This window comes from Homo sapiens, chromosome 13, assembly GCF_000001405.40.
Source record: "Homo sapiens chromosome 13, GRCh38.p14 Primary Assembly".
NCBI classification, from domain to species: Eukaryota; Metazoa; Chordata; class Mammalia; order Primates; family Hominidae; genus Homo; species Homo sapiens.
In genome coordinates, this window is record NC_000013.11 from 50,483,475 (window position 1) to 50,507,499 (window position 24,025).

General features: G+C 36.9%; 1 long non-coding RNA gene across 1 annotated transcript in view; it reads left to right on the plus strand.

Moving 5' to 3' along the window:
- DLEU1 (deleted in lymphocytic leukemia 1) overlaps positions 1-24,025 on the plus strand; it is a 446,475-nt gene that overhangs the window by 401,306 nt on the left and 21,144 nt on the right. The window contains exon 5 of the long non-coding RNA NR_109974.1: positions 9,177-9,287. This is a non-coding gene — a long non-coding RNA (deleted in lymphocytic leukemia 1). The remainder of the gene's footprint in view (positions 1-9,176; positions 9,288-24,025) is intronic.

Genomic DNA, 24,025 nt, shown 5'->3' on the forward strand with positions numbered 1-24,025 from the left:
TGTAGGATTCAGATTGTGTTCTTTAAGTCCCATTTCCCCATAGAAAGAACCAGGACTCCAGAGAAATGGGTGATTCTAACTCTGGGATAGAAAATGTACAGGGATAGTCTGGAGCATCTTGTCACACCAGAAAGCAATGACGCTCAAGGAAGTTATAAGACTACGTAAGAGGATATGCTGAAAAGGAAACGTTTTGAAGTTGCTCCCACTGGCTAAGTTTTGAGCAACAATAAGGACAAAAGATGTCAATGAATCATGATACATGAAATATATTTAAATGCATGACTTTTAATGGTACTAAAAAACATCACATTGGTCACCTTAGAAAGACTTGAAGAACCAATTCATTATTTTAAAGAATAGTAAATAGAAAAGAAATAGTAAGCATTTATCCTGCCTTCCCTATACTAAAAGTACTTCAGAATAAACAATTGATGAAGGGAAATTTCTCTTAGAGACAGAGTCTAGGTAATACATGGGAAAGAGATGAGAATTAAAGTATTATCACTTTGCAACATTTAATGGATTAACAGATCCAGGCAATTATCATCAGTGGTTGCCAATATATGTATATAACTTAATGTATAATACTAATTTATATTATAATATATGCTATATTAATTTAATATATATTAGCATATGTATAATTTAATATTTAATATATAATTATATATTACATATGTATATAGCTCTATAAGTACTATAGATAATATATATTAATCTAATTTTCTCTGTCATCTATTATTTACCTATTATCTCTCTCTACTATCTGTCTGTCTATTTATCATAGAAAAGAATTACGCCTTGGTACCAATTCAGTCAGGTGGGCTCACATGATTGACTTTTAGCCCCATCTTTTGCTTAAAAATAAAAATTACATAGTACTGTAGGAAGACTGTAGGGAGCTGAGTGGGGACTAAGAGAGCATACAAACTTTATTTTACAACTATCCAGTCCACCACCTATCTCACAGATATGGGTGCAATTTCTAAGTCAAACACTATCTCATAACTGACTATATATGGCTTTTCCTGGGGTGAAATACTTTGTTTTTGCTTTCGGCATTCCTTCCCTGACTTGCCTTTTTAGTTGTTGTGGGGACTATGTTTTTAAATCCACGAGATGCAAGGAAACAATGGACGCCTTTCTTCGCTGCTTGTAAAGGTCATATGAGAAACAAGCATGAGCAGAGCAGTTCTGACTAGACGTGCAAGCACACACAGAACGGGACACATTCACCGCGTCGTTTGTCAGCATTAACCCTTTGCTTATACCAAGAAAAGGAGGCTGTGTTTCTATCTTCAGATGGTTTTGGACTGAATTTATGTGAAGTAGAAAACAGGAGTGAATCACTGAAATTTTTGCTTGCTCTGTTAGGGCTTGGGAAGACCCAAAATGGAGGTGGCGTCTGAGTCCAGGAAGAAAGAGGACGTTTATGAAACAAGAGGTCAGGGATTTTCCTCTCAGGTCTCACGACTGTAAGCAGATCAGAGCTGCCAGATGACTATGCAATGCCTCTAGCACCATAAGGAATATTCCCCTCCAACACCAGTTAAAAGAAAAATAATAACAAACTAGAAATAAGCATAGAAAGTACAGATAAGTACAAGATAGTAAAAAATACTTTAACTTTTATTCTTTTTCCGTGTTATTATTTTAATAGTTTTTATAAAAAATTAAGTATCAAATTCTCACAAAGGTTATTTTCTCATCATTTAGTGTTCTCACCTTGTTGGGGGCCTAAACACTTGTGTTGCTTTTGGGTAATCTAGTACTGGCTCAGATCCATCTCCTCAGAAGTCCAAGAAATTACTTGTCAGGAAACTTGGTAGGATGGTCTGCTCACCAACGTAGTTTATTGACTGCTGCTTTTACACTGATCTAAAAATACTCTTTATTTTTGGTTGGAATATGGCTTATTTTGGGAGAAACTGGTGAGGTTAGGTCATCCTCAGATTTCTGCAAAATATTTTATTATAATAGACCTAGCTATTCATGGGAAGATTATAATACCTCATGGATCATCTGGGGAAAATACCTGGCCTTCAAGGCCACTATTTCCAGCAGCAAACATAAAAATCCTTTAATCCATGTCCCACGCTTAGGTTTCTTAATTCATGAAATTCTGCTTATGATTGCCACATATAAATAAGAAAGGACTTGAACATATGTGAGCTATAAGAAACTTTTGTAAAGCAATGCAACTCATGGGTTTAAACAAATACTTTTGGCAGCTTTGTTAAGCATACATGCAAAAAGTGGGTTTGCTTCACCAGTAAGGGATACAGAAAAATCCAAGCTCTCTGACCTACATGTGACACACACAGGATAATAATTAATGATAATAATAAGTTTTAAAAAATCTAGTATGCCTTTCTATCAGGATGGAGCAAGAGATTAATTACACATTGTACATCATAATGTCTGAAAGCCTGAGAACTTGTGCAATCTGAATTAAATTTTATGAAACAAAATGCATGGAATTGATGCTTTCATTTTGAATACACAAGTCTTTTTCTTCTTATATTCTTTCCCCCTCTCTTTTTTCCTTCTCTCCCTCCTTATCTTAGCACCCCTCCTCCCTGCTTCTAAAAGAAGAGAATACTGTTCTCAGGACTCTCTCAGCCTTTCTCAATTGAAAGCAATGATTCTGAGTCACTCCTTTATATTAAGTGAAATACTCTTGCATGAATCTCTAGGGATGAAGTGATTAGCCCAGCAAGAAGCCAGCGGATTCTGGTTGTCCGTGAAAGTGGTAGAAAGAATTAAATACAATTTTGCAAAGATAACACTAAAAGAATGGTATTTTCTTTCAAAACATGTCCTTTTCTGAAACATCAGTGCAGACGTATGTCAAGATAGAAACTGGATCATATTTCTAACAGTTGAAGACTCAGATTTCATCAAACAGGACTGCTTGTTCTCATGCCCAAACTGTATCCTACACTGTCCTGTTGTCTGGACTATAATGGAACATAACATTAACTTCGGACAGTGGAGGTTGTGTTGGTGCCAACCTTGCTAATGAACATGTGGTTTCCATAATAATGTGGCTACTTGCATATTAGGTGGCAAGGTGCCAGGTACGTACTTAATGTTGAGGGGGCAACTGATGTAAAAAGTACCATCTCCTGATATGATTGCATTTCCAAAAATACTCTGCACCTGGACTGAAACTCGGCAAAATGAGGAATGTCAGTCAGCATCAGGAAGTTTAAGGCATTGACAGATAAGGAGGAGCCCTGCAGATTCCAGGCATGCACTCTGTGAGCCTCAAGCATCCATCACAAGGTCTTGATGATAACAAAATGGGTAACGTCACAGTGTGAAAAACAGCCCGACCCAGGAGGGTGGTGGGTGGGGGAAGGTTTAGGACCACTCCCTGCTTCAAGTTCCTGGTGTTCTGGACTCAGGCACTTGAGGGTCTGAAAGCTAGAAGACAGTGAAATGAGTTACAGTTTAATGATATTCCCACTACACTGACAAAATGGATTCAGTTACATAATGGTAGCATTAAATGTTATTAAGAAGGGATCCAAAGTCTTGGGGCCAGACTTTCACAAAATCATGATAAGCTGCGAAAAACAGCTGAAATAGCACATTTATAGGCTTTCCAGTCCTCAATTTGTTGAAGGGGAAAAAAGTTGTTATATTTGCTCAAACATTCTGCAGTGTTGGCCTATAATCAGGGGCTTAGTGGAGGGGCGGGGGGTGTCAGGACATATCTGATTTGATTATTATATCTTAACTTGCATTTTTGTTTTCCTGAAAGCTTTTGTGAAGTACAGAGCTAAATGGTTTGCCCAAGGCCTTGGTTGCTTAGTAGGGCAGTGATTTTTCTTGGTGTCAAGACCTCCTCTGTAGAGTGACCAGGTGTAGAGGGTAGACTGTTTTTCTTCATTTCTATCTTCTCTTTGTATAAGAGAAGCTTCATTTTTTTAAATCTGCATTTTATAAAATTGATTCATTGTGGTATGTAGTTTTTTTTAATGTTTAATTTTTGTGGGTACATAGTAAGTGTATATATTGATGGGGTGCATTAGATAGTTTGATACAGGCATATAATGCATAATAATCACATTGTGGAAAGTGGGGTGTTCATCCCCACAAGCATTTATCCTTTGTGTTACAGACCATCCAGTTATACTCTGTTAGTTATTTAAAAATGTACAATTAAATTATTTTGACTATAGTCACCCTGTTGTGCTATCAAACACAAGATATTATTCATTCTTTCTGTTTTTTGTACCCATTAACCATTCCCACCTCCTCCCAGCATCCCAGTACCCTTCCCAGCCTCTGGTAACCATCCTTCTACATAAGTTCAATTATTTTGATTTTTACCCCCTAGAAATAAGTGAGTACGTGTGATGTTTGTCTTTCTGTGCTTGGCTTATTTCATTTAACATAGTGACCTCCAGTTCCATCCATGTTATTGCAAATGACAGGATCTCATCCTTTTTTATAACTGAATAGTACTCCATTATGTATAAGTATGTAGTGTATAGTTTGGACTAAGGTATCTACTACCACAATCAACATGCCAAGAGTTCCATCACTTCCAAAAAATTTCTCATGCTGCCTGGTTGTCATCAGTCTTTTTTCTACCTCCAGCCTCTGCTAACTGCTGATCTGTTCTCCATCCCCATAGTTTTGTCTTGTTTTGAATAACATATAAAGGGAAACTATAGCATGTAGTCTCTTGAGTCTGACCTATTTCATTAGCAAAATGCATTTGAGATTCATTCGTATTGTTTCATGCATGAGTAATTTACTTCTTTTTATTGTAAAAGAGTATTCCATTGTATGGATGTATCAGTTTGTTTATCCATTCACCCATGGAAGGAAATTTGTACTATTTCCAATTTTTGGCTTTAATTATTATATTTTTAAACCATCTTATTGAAGTATAATTGACATACAAAATCTGTCCTTATTTAATTTATACAACTTGATGAGTTAGGAGATAAGTATGCACTCATCAAATCATCACCATAAACCTATACTTCACCATAAATCATGCCATAAACCTATACTTCACTTCCAAAAATTTCCTCCTGCTTTCTTTCTTTATTATAATAATAATTATTATTATTATTTGTGATAAAAGCACTCAACATTAGATCTGCTTTTAAAGCAAAATTTTAAGGATACAATATATTATTGGTAATTACAGTCCCTGTGCTTTACAGTAGATCTCTAAGATTATCCATTTTATATAATCAAAACTTTGTACACTTTGACTCATACCTTCCATTTCTCCCTCCCCACAATCTCTGACCACTATCCTTCTATTCTCTGCTTCTATGAGTTTGACTACTTTAGATTCATTACATAAGTAATATCATGTAGTATTTGTCCTTCTGTGTCTGGCTTATTTTACTTAGCATAATGTATCCCAGGTTCATCCATGTTGCTGTAAGAGGCAGGATTTTCTTCTTTTTTAAGGATGAATAATATTCCCTTGTATGTATATATTACATTTTCTTTATCCATTTAGGAGTCAGTGGACATTTAGGTTGTTGCTTTGATGCCTCGGTGATTGTGAATAATGCTGCAGTGAATATGGAAATGCAGATAGCTCTTGAAAATACTATTGGCTTATTATTTATACCTCTTTTATATTTTTACTTTTAGTGGTTGCCCTAGAGTTACAATATTTATCTTTAATTAATCTGAGTTTACCTTCAAATAATATTAAATCACTTCACATGTAGTGTATGGACCTTGCAACAGTATATTCAAATTCCTTCATCTTTTACTTTATGCTATACATTTAATTTTACATATGCTGCAAGCACATAGTATATTGCTACTATTTTTTTTCTTTGCATAATCAATTATCATTTAGGCACTTAGGAGTAAGAAAATGCATTTTTAAATCTTTATTTATTTCCTTTCCCACAACTCTTTATTTGTTTGTGCAGATCCAACTTTCTCTCTGGTGCTATATTACTTCTACCTGGATAGCCTTCTCAAACATTTCTTATAATGCAGGCCTATTACCAATTAATTCTCCATTTTTCTTTTCGAGAAAGATTTTATTTCACCTTTAGTTTTAAAAGATGTTTTCCTGGGTACAGAACTCTGGCTGACAGTTTTTAAAAAATCTTAATGATGTCACTCCATTTTCTCCTGGCTTACATGATTTCCCACGAGAAGTTTGTTCTTATTTTTGTTCCTCTGTATAGAATGTATCTTTAGTTTAGTTTTGTTTTAATAAATTTTATTTTTAGAAGAGTTTTAGGTTTACAGAGAAACTGCAACAGTAGTACAGAGAGTTCCAGTATATCTCATATCCGGTTTACCCATTATTAATATCTTATGTTAGTATGGTACATCTGACCCAATATTGAAAAATTATTATTAACTAAAGTCTGTACTTTATTCAGATTTCCTTAGTTTTTACCTAATGGCATTTTTGTGCTCTAGGATCCCATCTACCACATTATGTTGTGATCATGTCTCCTTAACTCCTCTAGGCTGCGACAGTTTTTCAGGATTTCTTTATTTTTGATGACTATGATAGATTGAGGAGTACTGGTCATGTGTTTTGTAGAATGTCCCTCAATTTGGATTTGTCTGATGATTTTCTCAAGATTCGACTGGGGTTATGGGTTTTTGGGGAGGAAGACCACAGAGGTAAAGTGCCATTTTTGTAATAATCATATTAAGGAGACTTACTGTTAACATAACTTTTCACTCTTGATGTTGACCTTGATCACGTGGCTAAGATAGTATTTGTCAGATTTCTCCACTGTAAAATTACTCCTCTCTCTTTTACTTTTGAAATCTTTGGAAGGAAGTCCATATAAACAGCCCATGATTAAACAATGGGGAGTTAGGTTTATTCTCCTTAAGGGTAGAGTAACTACATAAATCATTTAGGATCTTCTACAAGTGAGACTTGTCTCTTCTTCCCCGTTATTTATTTATATCAATATTAATGTCTTTTATTTTTGGCTGCCTTCAGAAATTTTCTCTTTCTCCTCTCTTTGTTTTTTATCATTTGGATAAGACATATCTCAGGTTTGTTTTTTAATTTGTTTGTTTGTATTGTGTGTATCCTCACTGGTGTTCTTTGTGTTTCTTGGATCTGTGGTTTGGTGTCTAATGTTAATTTTGGAAAAATCTTGGTTATTATATGTTCAAATGTTTATTCTGCCCTATTCCCTCTCTCTTCTTGTAGAATTTCAATTAAACACATCTTAGGTATATGTCATTGTTCTACATTCCTTTGATATTCTATTCTACTTTTTTCATTCTTGTTTTTCTTTTAATTCAAATAACTTATATTGACCTATATGAGGCTTACTGATTCTTTCTTTGACTAGTCAAATGTATTGATGATACACTCAAAGGCATTCTTCATATCTGTTACTTTTTTATTATTATTATTTGTAGCATTCCTACTTAAATCTTCCTTAGTACTCTCTCTCTCTGCTGAAATTACTTATCTGATCCTGTGTGTTGTCTCCTTTTCCCATTAGAACTTTCAACATATTAATTATAGTTATTTTGAATTTCCTATTTATGGTTTTGATATTTGTATTATATCTGAGTCTGCTTCTGTCGATTTACTCATGCCACTGTGTTGTTTTTCTTGCTTTATTTTTGTATGCTTTGTACTTTTTTGGTTGAAAGCTGTATACTTTCTGTAGGACAATATATACTAAAGTAAGTGATTTTTTTTTTTTTTTGAGACAGAGTCTTACTTTGTCACCCAGGCTGGAGTGCAGTGGCACAATCCAGGCTCACTGCAACCTCCACCTCCCAGGTTCAAGTGATTCTCCTGCTTCACCCTTCCAAGTAGCTGGGATTACAGGTGTGCGCTGCCACACCCGGCTAATTTTTTAAAATTATTATTTCTAGTAGAGGCAAGGTTTTGCCATGTTGGCTAGGCTAGTCTCAAACTCCTGACCTCAGGTGATCCGCCCGCCTCGGCCTCCCAAAATGCCGGGATTACAGGTGTGAGCCACCGTGATGGCCAGGTAAATGATTTTTATTCCTGGAAATGAGCACATTTCCTTCTGCTAGGACTCTAATGTGGATTATTGAACCAATCTACTTAGGGATTTAATTGGAATAGAGATTGCTGTTGCTCTGGTTAACTACAGTGTACTACAGACTTCAAATTCCTGTAGTGACACTTTGTGTGTTGGGTGGAGGCTGGTTCGCCAGAAGGCTTTTTCTTAATATCCATTCTCAGCTTTAGGTCTTTATTTTACACTATGCCTTAGAGATGGTCTCTTTCCATACTCATTTAATTCTTCCACCATTACTAACTGTTACTTGTTACTTAATGCTTGTTAGAGTGGTGGCGTGGGGTCAGGAGTCCATTCTTCATTCTTTTCATGAAGCTTGTTTTTAGGCAGGCACTGTGTGTCTCTGGAGACCTTTTTCTGTATTTTTTACTTTAAAAAGTATGGAGTCCATTCATAAGGATGCTGGCGGGGGCAGTAAGGAGATATCTGGATGTACTTTAATCCAAAAACCATATTTTAGCATGTTCTATGTGCCAGATCCTGGGCCAGATGCTCTAAATGCAAATGGACAATGACGTGGTTCTTCCAATTCAGAAGCTCTGTATCAGAGAACCATAAACTGGTAAATAGGTGTAGACTCAAGGTACTTTGAAACCCAACAGAGGGCTTTTTTGCTCAGTGCAGATGAGGGTGATGGTCAGGGAATCTTTCCTAGATGGACTCCATCCAGACCACCATCTCTCTAGGACATCTGATTTTGTGCTCCATCAGACAAAAGGCAATGGTTTGAGATGAGAGAGAGAAAGACCTAAGTATTTGAAGTAAGGATACAGGAGGTGAGGAAACTATGGAGAAATACAGTGCCCTCTGAAGGTCATACTCTCAACATTACTTCAGGTATCTTCATAGTGCTATCTCTAGAAAAATCAAGGGTTTTTTTTTGTTTCAGACAAATCTGAAATCTGAAATTTGAAATCTGGATTTCTCACCTACAAGTTGAGGAATCTTAGGAAAATTACTTTCCCAACGTTCACTTTTCTCATATATAAAATGACAAAGATGTTTTCTGTCCCATTGGATTGCTGTAAACATTATGTGAAACATCAGCTTCTAGAAGATCCATAATAAGTAGTTACTATTATTGTTGTTGTTATTTGCAGCCACTAAATTGAATTGTTTTTAATTCTTTAGGTACCCTAATGACAAGTTCACCCCAGTGTTTTCTGAGGAGTCTACCTGGAAATGAGAACCATCTGTCCTTCCTATAGTAGTTCTTCTCAGAATGCCGACTCTATGCTAATGGTGAGAAAGTAGCTTCCAGATCAGACCCCCTAAAAATATATCTAAAAACTCAACTCCTGTGGTCATCTCTTTCAAGTATTTAAACCTCAGAATTTTCTCCAGCAAGCATATAGGCCCCATAGAGTCCATAAGCTTGCAATGTCTTGGCCATGTGTACCCATGTGGTACATTCAACCACCAAACTGGAATACGATATTGCATTTCCTGGGCAGGATTAAGAGTGAGCTCTCTTAGGCTCAGATGACCCCCACAATCAAAGGTAAGAGGGCTGTAACTGAAATATCACTCAACAGTCATGCCAGGAATAATGGACACTGAAACGACTACCATGCCTTGTGGTGAGTGCCCTCCTTTGGGGATTAGCAAGATGGTAGGGGATGTGCAGAAGACTGCAATGGGTCTCTTAACCCTTCCTTCCTTCAGTATATAATCCAGGTTATTTTAGAAATAGAACACCAGTGATGTGTTTGTGACAACTTCTACTGGTCCTGTAATCTAGTTAGAATTGGGTGGATGACCCCTTATAAATCCTAACTAGATTACAGGACCAGTAATGTGTCAGTCTTAATTAATTCATTGGTTTATTTATTCATTCATTCTTTCATTCATTTTTTTACTTGTTCATCCATTCATCAAAAGTATTTTTAGTACTTTACCTACTATTAGCTGGGCTTCAGTTAAATAATTTTGTATTTTTTTTTCCTTAATAGAACTTATGATCTGGTGGAAGGACATGATAACTAATCAAATAATCACAAATATGTATTTCAGAGGTAATTATTCTAAAGGAAAGTTATCTGACTTGGTTTTTCTGGGAAGTCTTGCCTAAATGAGATAATTTTTGAAGTGGGTGAGCTGGCCACTTAGGGCTTGGGAGAGGTTAACAGAATGAGGCCACAGGTAACTTCTTGGGCAGCATGTGCAAGGGCCTTGGGGACAGAGGGCTGTGGTACGTTTGATGGACTGTGAACAGAACAGTCAGGCTGTAGTATAGAGAGTGAGGGAAGAGAGTGGTGCAAAATAAAGCTGAAAATATGGGCATATGTCAGGTCATTCAGGACTTTGTAAGGCGTGTGAAGGGTTTGGGTTGTCAGTTGAAGGGTTAGGGAAACCACTGAAGAGATTTAAGTGGGGCACGGTTGTGGAGGGGGGTGGTGACTGTGTAATTTGTAAAGAACACAAAGATTGCAGGGTGGAGAACAGATTGGGAAGGCAGCAAGTATCAATGTAGGAAGACTGGTTAGAAGGTATAAGGAGGTTTTATTTTGTTTTTTTCCTTTGTAGATGGGAGAAACTTGAGTAAGTAAATGTCAGTGGGAAAGATCCAAGCAAGAGAGAAATGCTGAATGAAAAAAAGAAAAAAGAGCTAGTGAAAGCTTCCTGAAAGCCAGTGTAATGATTGGAGCAATTGGCCTTAGAAAGGAGAAGGGCTAATTTTATTCTACAGAAAGGAGAAAAAATGGGATGGGTGCAGATATAAGGGCCCATTTTTGTGGGAGTTCCTGTCTTGTGGCTTTTGTTTTCTGTGTAAAGTAGGAAGTGAGGTCATTTGTTAAGAGTGGAAGGAAAGGTGCAAGATAAAAAAGCAAGTCAGAGATCTGAGGAGACTGGAGAAAGTTTGAGAAATTCACTAGAGAGGTGGGAGAGAGAACTGACAGGTGCTTGTGGAAATCTTGCTGATATGTGTTGAGGACGTGCTGGTTTTGATGTTCATGACTTCACAACAGTGCAGATCCACTCTGTGTGTGGCTTTCATCAGCAATACTTCCGTATTTGGGTTTAGAAAGATTAAGGGAAAAAAGGAAAAAAAGACAGTTGGGTTCAGGCAACACTGGGATCTTGTTAGCAGCTGCTAATATAAAGACAGAAAGGAATGGAGTTTGGGGCCCTGGCAAATATGTTATTGAAATGACATATAATGAAATTCAAGCTTAGAAAGGGGGAATTTGAAAAAGAAGGCTGATAGATTGGAAGAGAGTAGAAGAGTCAATGGAAGGGGCCCTGAAGAAGTTGAAGAACACTTGTAATCTGAGGAGTCGAACTAGCTAGCTGGATAGAAAGGAGTTAGTAGGAAACTGATTTAGTGACTTGGGTGGTAGAGAGGTTTGGGGTGATGACAAGTTCCAGGGTAGTGTTGGGAGACAATTTTCCATGAATATTTTTACGTTTCTGCACAGTCTTGGCTTTCTGAGCAAAGAAAATTGGCAAAAATGGTTAAACAATAATTGAATAGCAAATATGCCTGAGAAGCTAGAAATAGTGTATTGTTCCAGACAGATTTAGAGAATTCGCTGCCATAGAGTCATTTGCATTACATTTCTGGGTAGCAAAAACCTAGGGACCTTTCCCTCACATCCTCAGAGAGGGTTTCTTACATTCCAGAGTGAAAGTCTCTCTCTCTTTCTTTCCAGAAGAAATGAGGGGCAAATGCACTAGCTGCCCTATGTAAGCTCTAAGTCTCATCATTTCGGGGATCCTCTCCTGTGATGCAGCTTTGCTAGAAAGAACTAATATTTGTATTTTTTTGCACCATCTGTTCTGCTGTATCGTGGTAGAAGTCATGTAGGTTCATATGAGATCTTTCTTCCAAGCACCTTAATGTTTTGAAGAGATAAAAGCAAGAAGCAAGCTTTCTTACAATTCATGAAAAAGCCCAATCAATATGCCTCAAGAAACAAAGCTGATGTATAATAAAAATTATTATCCCAGCACATGTTTTTGAATTCCTATAGACTTTAAATAGATTTTAAAGTTGAGATGAAACTGGTCTCTATTAGAAGCAAATGCCCTCAAAGACTTTCCTCTTGAAGAAGGAATTCTAAGTTCCAGTATTTAAAGCTGAAAAAGATCATCCGACTGTGATGCTGGGCAAATGCCACAGAAGATTTAACTCTGCTATTGTCTTGATTGTTTTCATTACACAGTTTTATAAGTTTTCTGGGCTGTATAGACTCTGTTTTTACTGATAAGTCCTATTATTGACAATGCCTGACTTTGCAGAGTTCTAGGTTTTTGAAAACAACGTAGCTTTATGGGAGAATCTGCTGTATTTCTTTCCATCTTTTGCATTAAGTACATAGTTTTTCTTTGATCATAAAAATACATCAGTTTTTCTAAAATTTTTTTTTAATTTTAAAGGATGGTTGATATTGTTACTGTAACTTAAATGACAAGGAACACACTGCCTTCTACATACTAGCACTCATTTAAGCATAATAAACTAAAATTTTATTTAAAAATATCCTGAAAATCCCCCAAAGCATATAAATTACTTACAATTCCAGCACATTTAAAAATGTATTTAAGTAAACCAAAGTTTTACTTCCCTCTGTCCATCTAATTTAATCTTCCGATAACTTCTATAGCAGTTTGAGGTATAGTTTGACTTTTTTTTCTATGCTTATACAGATATATTTATACATATACCAAGTCTATATCTGTCTACATTTCAATGTATGTATCTATGTGTCTAGGTCCCTGCTGATAAACATAGAAAATATGTATATGTGTATGTGTATATATATATATGTATTTCTTTTAATGATAGAATCATGCTACATATATTAAATACTTATTTTTCTTAATGCTATATTACAGGCTTACTTCCAGGTGCATGTAAGTCTATCACATTCTTTGAATGTCCCATAGTGTTCCTTGTGTGGTGTACTGGTTATCACTGCACAACAGATCTCCCTGACTCCACTTTTTGACAGGGGAGTGCCATATGCATACAGGAGAAAAGGAATTGATCGTAGCCACTTGGTGACAAGTACCCTACTCTACCTTCTGGCCACCACAGTTTATCTCTCATGTGAAAAGTACACTAATTTCCTCCTAAAACTGCCCTGAAGTTCTCATCCCATCATAGAAGTAGGCTCAGTCTCAAGATCCAGAATCTCACTATTGAAATCAGGACCAGGTTCAGTACGCTGCATGTACTGTTTCTCAGGTGCAACTTGTTGAGTGTGGTTCCTTACCATCTGAAGGTCCATTAACTAAAGAGACAAGTTATATGGCCCCCAGACCCAAAAAACAATGGTAAAACTGACATAGGATAATACAAAAAAGGGGAGAGCTGCAGCATGCAGCAGTTACTATTTCACAGCAATTCTGAATCTCAGATTGGCACAATAGTGCCAGGTGCCAAATTAGGGCCCAGTCCTGTTACCTAGAAATGGTTCTTCATAGCTCTTATCTCTGCTTTCTGAGTCATTTCTTCTTATCCATAAGAAATGGGTTGTAATTGTTACTGAGTGGTTATCTCAGTTGGCTTGCTGACTGTAGAATGTTGTGGCTCTTTTTATTTTGAACTGTTTCTGTCTCAGTCTAAGCTGATGGTGTTTTTCTAAGTACTAGTCTGTTAACAATTTTGTGCATCGCCTATGAATCTTATTGGGGCTCATTCAATTGGACAAAAGCAATATTTATAAATCTCTTATAGGTAACCTTAAATCTTTCTAAGGTTTCATAAAATGTCTTACAGCCACATCTTTTACTTTATCATAACCCTAAGGCTCTTTCTTACTTTGAGACCCTTCTGTTGGCTACACAGAGGATTCTAGGACCTCTATATTTTCTCCAAACTATATTTTAAAAGGGAACAGTTCTGTCTCCTGCTCATCTCTTTTTATCTACCTTATATGTAGCTAAAAGAAACTTTTTGGCAGAACTTTGAATGTTCTGTCTGGAACTCTCCAGTCAAATTCACCAATTCATTAGAAATATTTTGTATTTTCCACATTGTCATGGGTAAGATATTACCAAACTTTTCACCATTACATAACACTAGTTCTACTTCTTTTAGCCTCCAATAATATTATCCTCATCGTCGTTTCAAGGCCTTCCGGCCTTTGCCCACTGCCTCATCCAAAGCCAATGTCACATGTTTTAGATTTAGATTTTGTTAAGGTAGCACTTCACTTCCAGGTATCAATTTCTGTCATGGCTATCAATGGCCAGATAACCCCTCACTCCAAAAGTTAGTGACTGAAAACAGCTATTTTGTCTCTCACTGTTCTGTGGGTTGACTAAGCTCAGTTGTGTACTTTTCATTTTAAGTTACTAATGAGGTTGCTGTCAAATGGTGGCAGGACTGCAGGACTGGAGTTCAAGGTTTGACTGAGTTGGATATCCAAGGTGACTTCTTCATTTACATATTGTTGGTGGCTCAGCTAGAATGGCTGCAACAGTCTGAGAATAGCAGGTAGTTTCTCCCTCTCCATGTGACTTCTCACAGGACTAGCTTGGGCTTTCTCATAACAGGAAGGTCTCAGTTTATCTGGACTTCTCACATGGCAGCTGGCTTCCCCCAGAGCATGTGTTCCCAGTGACCAGGGTGAAATCTGAAATGCTTAAGACCAATCTTGGATGTTGTATATACTTTTTCTATATTCTATTAGGCACACATGCCAGCCTTGGTTTAATGTGGGAGGGAAATAGACAAGAGCCATACCTTCATCTTTGGAGGTGTGGTTCAGTAGGGGGCCAGTGTTGGAGACTAGTTACCATGTGTGGATATACCATAACTTATTTAACCATTCCCCTATTGGGTTATAATAATTTGGAGTATTTAAATTATTAAATTAAATATTATTTAAGTAATATTAAATTATTTAAAGTTGTAAACTTTAATGCAGAGAACATAATTTTCATGTGCTTTTGTCAGTCTTTAAATGTATGCACAAATCTAATGCTATTGCAATTGAATATACATTTTTAAGAAACTGAGGGCCAGGTGCGGTGGTTCACGCCTGTAATCCCAGCACTTGGGGAGGCCAAGGTGGGTGGATCACCTGAGCCAAGGAGTTCAAGGCCAGCCTGGGCAACACGGTGAAACCCTATCTCTACTAAAATACAAAAAAATTAGCCAAGCTTGGTGGCATGTGGCTGTAATCCCAGCTACTTGGGAGGCTGAGACAGGAGAATCACTTGAACCTGGGAGGGGGAGGTTGCGGTGGGCCGAGATCACGCCATTGCACTCCAGCCTGTCCAGCAACAGAGCGAGACTCCATCTCAAATAAAACAAAACAAAACAAAGGAAAAAAGAAACTGATAACTTTTATTTATTTTACTTAGTTATAAATATAAATATATACATATATACATACATGTGTATATATATATATATATATATATATGTATATATAGTCGGCCCTCCATGTCCATGGGTTCCACATTCATGGATTCAACTGTGAATGGAAAATATTTGGAAAAAATTGCATCTGTAACCGGGCACTGTGGCTCACGCCTCTAATCCTAGCACTTTGGGAGGCCGAGGCGGGCAGATCACGAGGTCGGGAGATCGAGACTATCCTGGTTAACATGGTGAAACCCTGTCTCTACTAAAAATACAAAAAAATTAGCTGGGCGTGGTGGCAGGTGCCTGTAGTCCCAGCTACTCAGGAGGCTGAGGCAGAAGAATGGCATGAACCTGGGAGGCAGAGCTTGCAGTGAGCTGAGATCGCACCACTGCCCTCCAGCCTGGGAGACAGAGCGAGAATCCCTATCAAAAAAAAAAAAAATTGCATCTGTATTAAACATGTAAGACTTTTTCTTGTCATTATTCTCTAAACAATACAGTATAAGTACTCTTCATATAGCATTTACATTGTAGTAGGTATTATAGGTAATCTAGGGATGATTTAAAGCATATGGGAGGATGTACATAGGTTATATGCAAATACTATACCATTTTATATCAGGCACTTGAACATCTGCAGATTTTGGTATCCACAGGAGGTCTAGCAACCAATCCCCCACAGATATTGAGGGATAAATGTATATAATTTATTTATGTATTGTAAAATTTTGTAGAAGAAAAAGTGTGTAAGGCTTGCCAACACATTTTGGAAAAGAATAGTGAAAAGAGATTTGCCCAGATATTTCAGCATACACTAAAGCTACTATAATAAAAATAATGTGGTACTTGCAGAGAAAGACAAGCAAATTATTGGAAAAGAGTAGAATCTAGAAACAGACTCAAGTATATATACACGTCAGTTTAAGATTTAATAATGATGTCATTTCAAATCAATGAGATAACCATGTATCATTAAGAAATTATATTAGGATATCAATGTTTTTTAGAAAAAAATTCTTAGATTTCCTCTCCTAATGTATACAAAAATAGAGATAAACTAAAGACCTAGATATAAAATGTAAACCTATAAAAAGTTTAGAAGAAATTTTGAAGCAAAAGAAAATTTTATTTAACTACATAAAAATTCAAAACTTTTATATGTCAAAACATATTATATTAATTAAAAATTTTTATCATTAAAAGGCAAACAATAAAATGTGCGAATATATTTGTAACACATATAGAAAACAAAAAATAGCTTTATCACACAAAGAGCTTCTATAAATTAATATAAATATTTTTAAAAGAAAGGAAAGACAAACAAGACTAGGTAAAATCCAGAAACAAGCAATCCTTCAAAGAAATACAATGACCAATAAATATGTGGATAATTTTTACCTTCACCTCAACATAAAAACAGTCTGTATTAGTCCATTTTGCATTGCTATAAAGGAATACCTGAGGCTCGGTAATTTATTTTAAAAAGAGGTTTATTTGACTCAAAGTTCTGCTTGGTGCCAGCATCTGTTTGGCTTCTGGTGAAGTCTCAGGAAGCTTTTACTCATGGAAGAAGATGAAGTGGGTGCAGGTGTGTCACATGGTGAGCGAAGGAGAAAGAGAGAGAGATGCCAGGTTCTTTTAAGCAATCAGCTCTCATATGAACTAATAGAGTGAGGACACATTACCGTAGGGAGGGCACCAAGCCATTCATGAGGGATCTGCCCACTAGGCCTCATCTCCAACATTGGGGATCAAATTCCAACATGAAATTTGGAGGGTACAAATATCCAAACTATATCATTCTGCCCTTGGCCCCCCAAATCTCATGTCCTTCTCACATTGTAAAATACAATAATCCCTTGCCAATAGTCCCCCAAAGTCTTAACTCGTTCTAGAATTAACTCAAAAGTTCAAAGTCCAAAGTCTCTTCTGAGACTCAAGGCAAGTTCTTTCTTTCTTTACCACATGGCCAGGCTGTGAATTTTTCAAACTTTTATACTCTGCTTTTCTTTTAATTATAAGTTCTAATTCAAAGTCATTCCTTTACTCCCATATCTGATCATAGATTGTTAGAAGTAAGCATGCCACTTCTTAAATGCTTTGCTCCTTAGAAATTTCTTCCACCAGATTCCCTAGGTCATCACTCTTAAGTTCAACCTTCCATAAATCCCTAGGGTATGGGCACAATGCTGGCAAGTTCTTTGCTAGGATGTAACGAGGGTAACCTTTGCTCCAGTTCCCAAGAAGTTCCTCATTTCTGAGACCTCATCAGCCTGGCCTTTACTGTGCATATCTCTATCGACATTTTGCTCAATACCACTTAACCAGTCTCTAAGAAATTCCAAACTTTCCCTTGTCCACTTGTCTTCTTCTAGGCTCTCCAAAGTCTTCTAATCTCTGCACATTACCCAGTTCCCAAAGCCAATTCCACATTTTCAGGTATCTTTATAGCACCACTCATTCTTGGTATCAATTTTCTGTATTAGTCCATTTTGCATTGCTATAAAGGCATACCTGAGGCTGGGTAATTTATGAAGAAAATAGGTTTATTTGGCTCACGATTGTGGATGGTGCTAGCATCTTCTTGGCTTCTGGTGAGGTCTCAAGAAGCTTTAACTCATGGCAGAAGGCAAAAGGGAAGCAGGCATGTCACATGGTGAGAGGGAGAAAGAGATAAATGCTAAGCTTTTTGAAGCAACCAGCTCTCATGTGAACTCATAAAGTGAGAACTCACTCATTACCATGGGGAGGGCATAGAGTCATTCCTGAGGGCTCTGCCCACACAACCCAAACACCTTCCACCAGGCCCCACCTCCAACAATGGGGATTACATTTCAGCATGAGATTTGGAGGGGACAAATACCCAAACTGTATCACAACCCAAATTAAAGTATCCAGGTATACTTTTTCCCTTATCAAATTGCTTTAAAACCTGCAATATCCTGTGCTGGTGAGAATGAGGAGAAGTGAGAACTTTCATACACTTTTGCTGGAATTGCATATATAAATTTTGACACAGAAATTTCATATCTAGAAACTTATCCCATGGAAATAACAGCACGACGTTTTTATTATTTAATTTCATCTCAGGAGCATTTCCCCATACTAGTAAATAGTTTTTAAAACAATTATTATTTTTTTCTACCAATTGTGTATTTCTTCTTTCCATGGTGATGACATAATTTCTTTAAGTATTTTCCTATTATTGGGCATTTGTGTCATTTTGAATATTCTGCTTTTAGGTTTAAGAGACATATAACCAAATCAGATAATGAGTATTGTTTAGATCCTGATTGAAACAAATAGTACAAAGGCATTTTCAAGATTACCTGGAAATTTTGAATATTTAAAGGGTGTTCAATGATACAAAATTAGTATTAATTTGTTTTGTGTTATATTGGCTTTCTTGGATTGGTGTCACATCGATCTCTCTACTCTTTGCTTGGAGAATTCAATTGTTTACCTCTATATCCTGCATTTTCAAGAATGATAAGAAGAAGAAGTCACATTTTGATTGTCCCTTTCCAAGGGAGGGAAACCCCAGGGATCTAAAGCCCTATTTAGCTCCTTGGGGAACGGGAAGGGATGGGGGGATACATTCTTTAAAATTCTTTCTTATTCTGTTAAGCCAGTAAGAAATTAGGATTGCTTATTTGTTAACCTGGTCTCCTTGCTACAGTTTTTGGGAGACATGTTTGCCAATAATTTAAGTTCTAAAATAATGCCCTTAAATGAACAAAAAAATTGTGTTTATTAAATACAAACCAACTAGTGAACAATTGAGGCTTAGGTGAGAATTGGGTCAATGGAATGAGAAGTATATTTTTTCTCATTTCTTTTAGTGTGAAAATAAGGTCATTCTTTGCATTATAAATAGTACATGTTTATTATAGGTAATATCAATAATGTCCGTACTATCACTATTCAAAGATACTAATATTTTAGTGTCTTTTCATCCTGTCTTTTTCCAGGTGTAGTTATTATTCAATTTATAATTTGGCATCCTACCATATATATAATTTAACATCTACTCTTTTAACGTAAGTATTTCTTAATATTATCATAAATTCTTGTATAACATTCTTTTTAATGACTCCATAATATTCTACCAAGTATATATATATTACTACATATAATAGTATTACATATATAATAGTTTAACTATCTTACTATTATCAGAAAAATAATATATTTACTATAAAACTTTTTTTAATACTTTAAGTGTTAGGGTACATGTGCACAACGTGCAGGTTAGTTACATATGTATACATGTGCCATGTTGGTGTGCTGCACCCATTAACTCGTCATTTAACATTAGGTATATCGTCTCATGCTATCCCTCCCCCCCTCCCCCCACTCCACAACAGGCCCTGGTGTGTGATGTTCCCCTTCCTGTGTCCATGTGTTCTCATTGTTCAATTCCCACCTATGAGTGAGAACATGTGGTGTTTGGTTTTTTGTCCTTGCCATAGTTTGCTGAGAATGATGGTTTCCAGCTTCATCCATGTCCCTACACAGGACATGAACTCATCCTTTTTTATGGCTGCATAGTATTCCATGGTGTATATATGCCACATTTTCTTAATCCAGTCTAACATTGTTGGACATTTGGCATGGTTCCAAGTCTTTGCTATTGTGAATAGCACCACAATAAACATACATGTGCATGTGTCTTTATAGCAGCATGATTTATAATCCTTTGGGTATATACCCAGTAATGGGATTGCTGGGTCAAATGGTATTTCTAGTCCTAGATCCCTGAGGAATCGCCACACTGACTTCCACAATGGTTGAACTAGTTTACAGTCCCACCAACAGTGTAAAAGTGTTCCTATTTTCCACATCCTCTCCAGCACCTGTTGTTTCCTGACTTTTTAATGATCGCCATTCTAACTGGTGTGAGATGGTATCTCACTGTGGTTTTGATTTGCATTTCTCTGATGGCCAGTGATGATGAACATTTTTTCATGTGTCTTTGGGCTGCGTAAAAGTCTTCTTTTGAGAAGTGTCTGTTCATATCCTTCGTCCACTTTTTGATGGGGTTGTTTGTTTTTTTCTTGTAAATTTGTTTGAGTTCATTGTAGATTCTGGATATTAGCCCTTTGTCAGATGAGTAGATTGCAAAAATTTTCTCCCATTCTGTAGGTTGCCTATTCACTCTGATGGTAGTTTCTTTTGCTGTGCAGAAGCTCTTTAGTTTAATTAGATCCCATTTGTCAATTTTGGCTTTTGCTGCCATTGCTTTTGGTGTTTTAGACATGAAGTCCTTGCCCATGTCTATGTCCTGAATGGTATTGCCTAGGTTTTCTTCTAGGGCTTTTATGGTTTTATGTCTAACATTTAAGTCTTTAATCCATCTTGAATTAATTTTTGTATAAAGTGTAAGGAAGGGATCCAGTTTCAGCTTTCTACATATGGCTGGCCAGTTTTCCCAGCACCATTTATTAAATAGGGAATCATATCCCCATTTCTTGCTTTTGTCAGGTTTGTCAAAGATCAGATGGTTGTAGATATGTGGCATTATTTCCGAGGGCTCTGTTCTGTTCCATTGGTCTAGATCTCTGTTTTGGTACCAGTACCATGCTGTTTTGGTTACTGTATCCTTGTAGTATAGTTTGAAGTCAGGTATCGTGATGCCTCCAGCTTTGTTCTTTTGGCTTAGGATTGACTTGGCAATGCGGGCTCTTTTTTGGTTCCATATGAACTTTAAAGTAGCTTTTTCCAATTCTGTGAAGAAAGTCATTGGTAGCTTGATGGGGATGGCATTGAATCTATAAATTACCTTGGGCAGTATGGCCATTTTCACGATATTGATTCTTCCTACCCATGAGCATGGAAGGTTCTTCCATTTGTTTGTATCCTGTTTTATTTCATTGAGCAGTGATTTGTTGTTCTCCTTGAAGAGGTCCTTCACATCCCTTGTAAGTTGGATTCCTAGGTATTTTATTCTCTTTGAAGCAATTGTGAATGGGAGTTCACTCATGATTTGGCTCTCTGTTTGTCTGTTATTGGTGTATAAGAATGCTTGTGATTTTTGCACATTGATTTTGTATCCTGAGACTTTGCTGAAGTTGCTTATCAGCTTAAGGAGATTTTGGGCTGAGATGATGGGGTTTTCTAGATATACAATCACGTCATCTGCAAACAAGGACAATTTGACTTCCTCTTTTCCTAATTGAATACCCTTTATTTCCTTCTCCTGCCTGATTGCCCTGGCCAGAACTTCCAACACTATGTTGAATAGGAGTGGTGAGAGAGGGCATCCCTGTCTTGTGCCAGTTTTCAAAGGGTATGCTTCCAGTTTTTGCCCATTCAGTATGATATTGGCTGTGGGTTTGTCATAGATAGCTCTTTTTATTTTGAGATATGTCCCATCAATACCTAATTTATTGAGAGTTTTTAGCATGAAGAGTTGTTGAATTTTGTCAAAGGCCTTTTCTGCATCTGTTGAGATAATCATATGGTTTTTGTCTTTGGTTCTGTTTATATGCTGGATTACGTTTATTGATTTGCATATATTGAACCAGCCTTGCATCCCAGTGATGAAGCCCACTTGATCATGGTGGATAAGCTTTTTGATGTGCTGCTGGATTCGTTTTGCCAGTATTTTATTGAGGATTTTTGCATTGATGTTCATCAGGTATATTGGTCTAAAATTCTCTTTTTTTTTGTTGTGTCTCTACCAGGCTTTGGTATCAGGATGATGCTGGCCTCATGAAATTAGGGAGGATTCCCTCTTTTTCTATTGATTGGCATAGTTTCAGAAGGAATGGTACCAGCTCCTCCTTGTACCTCTGGTAGAATTCGGCTGCGAATCCATCTGGTCCTGCACTTTTTTTGGTTGGTAAGCTATTAATTATTGCCTCAATTTCAGATCCTGTTATTGGTCTATTCAGAGATTCAACTTCTTCCTGGTTTAGTCTTGGGAGGGTGTATGTGTCGAGGAATTTATCCATTTCTTCTAGATTTTCTAGTTTATTTTCATAGAGGTGTTTATAGTATTCTCTGATGGTAGTTTGTATTTCTGTGGGATCAGTGGTGATATCTTTATCATTTTTTATTGTGTCTATTTGATTCTTCTCTCTTTTCTTCTTTATTAGTCTTGCTAGCGGTCTATCAATTTTGTTGATCTTTTCAAAAAACCAGCTCCTGGATTCATTGATTTTTTGAAGGGTTGTTTGTGTCTCTATTTCCTTCAGTTCTGCTCTGATCTTAGTTATTTCTTGCCTTCTGCTAGCTTTTGAATGCGTTTGCTCTTGCTTCTCTAGTTCTTTTAATTGTGATGTTAGGGTGTCAATTTTAGATCTTTCCTGCTTTCTCTTGTGGGCATTTAGTGCTATAAATTTCCCTCTACACACTGCTTTGAATGTGTCCCAGAGATTCTGGTATGTTGTGTCTTTGTTCTCGTTGGTTTCAAAGAACATCTTTATTTCTGCCTTCATTTCATTATGTACCTAGTAGTCATTCAGGAGCAGGTTGTTCAGTTTCCATGTAGTTGAGCGGTTTTGAGTGAGTTTGTTAATCCTGAGTTCTAGTTTGATTGCACTGTGGTCTGAGAGATAGTTTGTTATAATTTCTGTTCTTTTACATTTGCTGAGGAGTGCTTTACTTCCAACTATGTGGTCAATTTTGGAATAAGTGCGATGTGGTGCTGAGAAGGATGTACATTCTGGTGATTTGGGGTGGAGAGTTCTGTAGATGTCTATTAGGTCTGCTTGGTGCAGAGCTGAGTTCAACTCCTGGATATCCTTGTTAACTTTCTGTCTTGTTGATCCTTCTAATGTTGACAGTGGGGTGTTAAAGTCTCCCATTATTATTGTGTAGGAGTCTAAGTCTCTTTCTAGGTCTCTAAGGACTTGCTTTATGAATCCGGGTGCTCCTGTATTGGGTGCATATATATTTAGGATAGTTAGCTCTTCTTGTTGAATTGATCCCTTTACCATTATATAATGGCCTTCTTTGTCTCTTTTGATCTTTGTTGGTTTAAAGTCTGTTTTACCAGAGACTAGGATTGCAACCCCTGCCTTGTTTTGTTTTCCATTTGCTTGGTAGCTCTTCCTCCATCCCTTTATTTTGAGCCTATGTGTGTCTCTGCACGTGAGATGGGTTTCCTGAATACAGCACACTGATGGGTCTTGACTATCCAATTTGCCAGTCTGTGTCTTTTAATTGGAGCATTCAGCCCTTTTACATTTAAGGTTAATATTATTATATGTGAATTTGATCCTGTCATTATGATGTTAGCTGGTTATTTTGCTCGTTAGTTGATGCAGTTTCTTCCTAGCCTCGATGGTCTTTACAATTTGGCATGTTTTTGCAGTGGCTCGTACCAGCTGTTCCTTTCCATGTTTAGTGCTTCCTTCAGGAGCTCTTTTAGGGCAGGCCTGGTGGTGACAAAATCTCTCAGCATTTGCTTGTCTGTAAAGGATTTTATTTCTCCTTCACTTATGAAGCTTAGTTTGGCTGGATATGAAATTCTGGGTTGAAAATTCTTTTCTTTAAGAATGTTGAATATTGGCCCCCACTCTCATCTGGCTTATAGAGTTTCTGCCGAGAGATCAGCTGTTACTCTGATGGGCTTCCCTTTGTGGGTAACCCAACCTTTCTCTCTGGCTGCCCTTAACATTTTTTCCTTCATTTCAACTTTGGTGAATCTGAC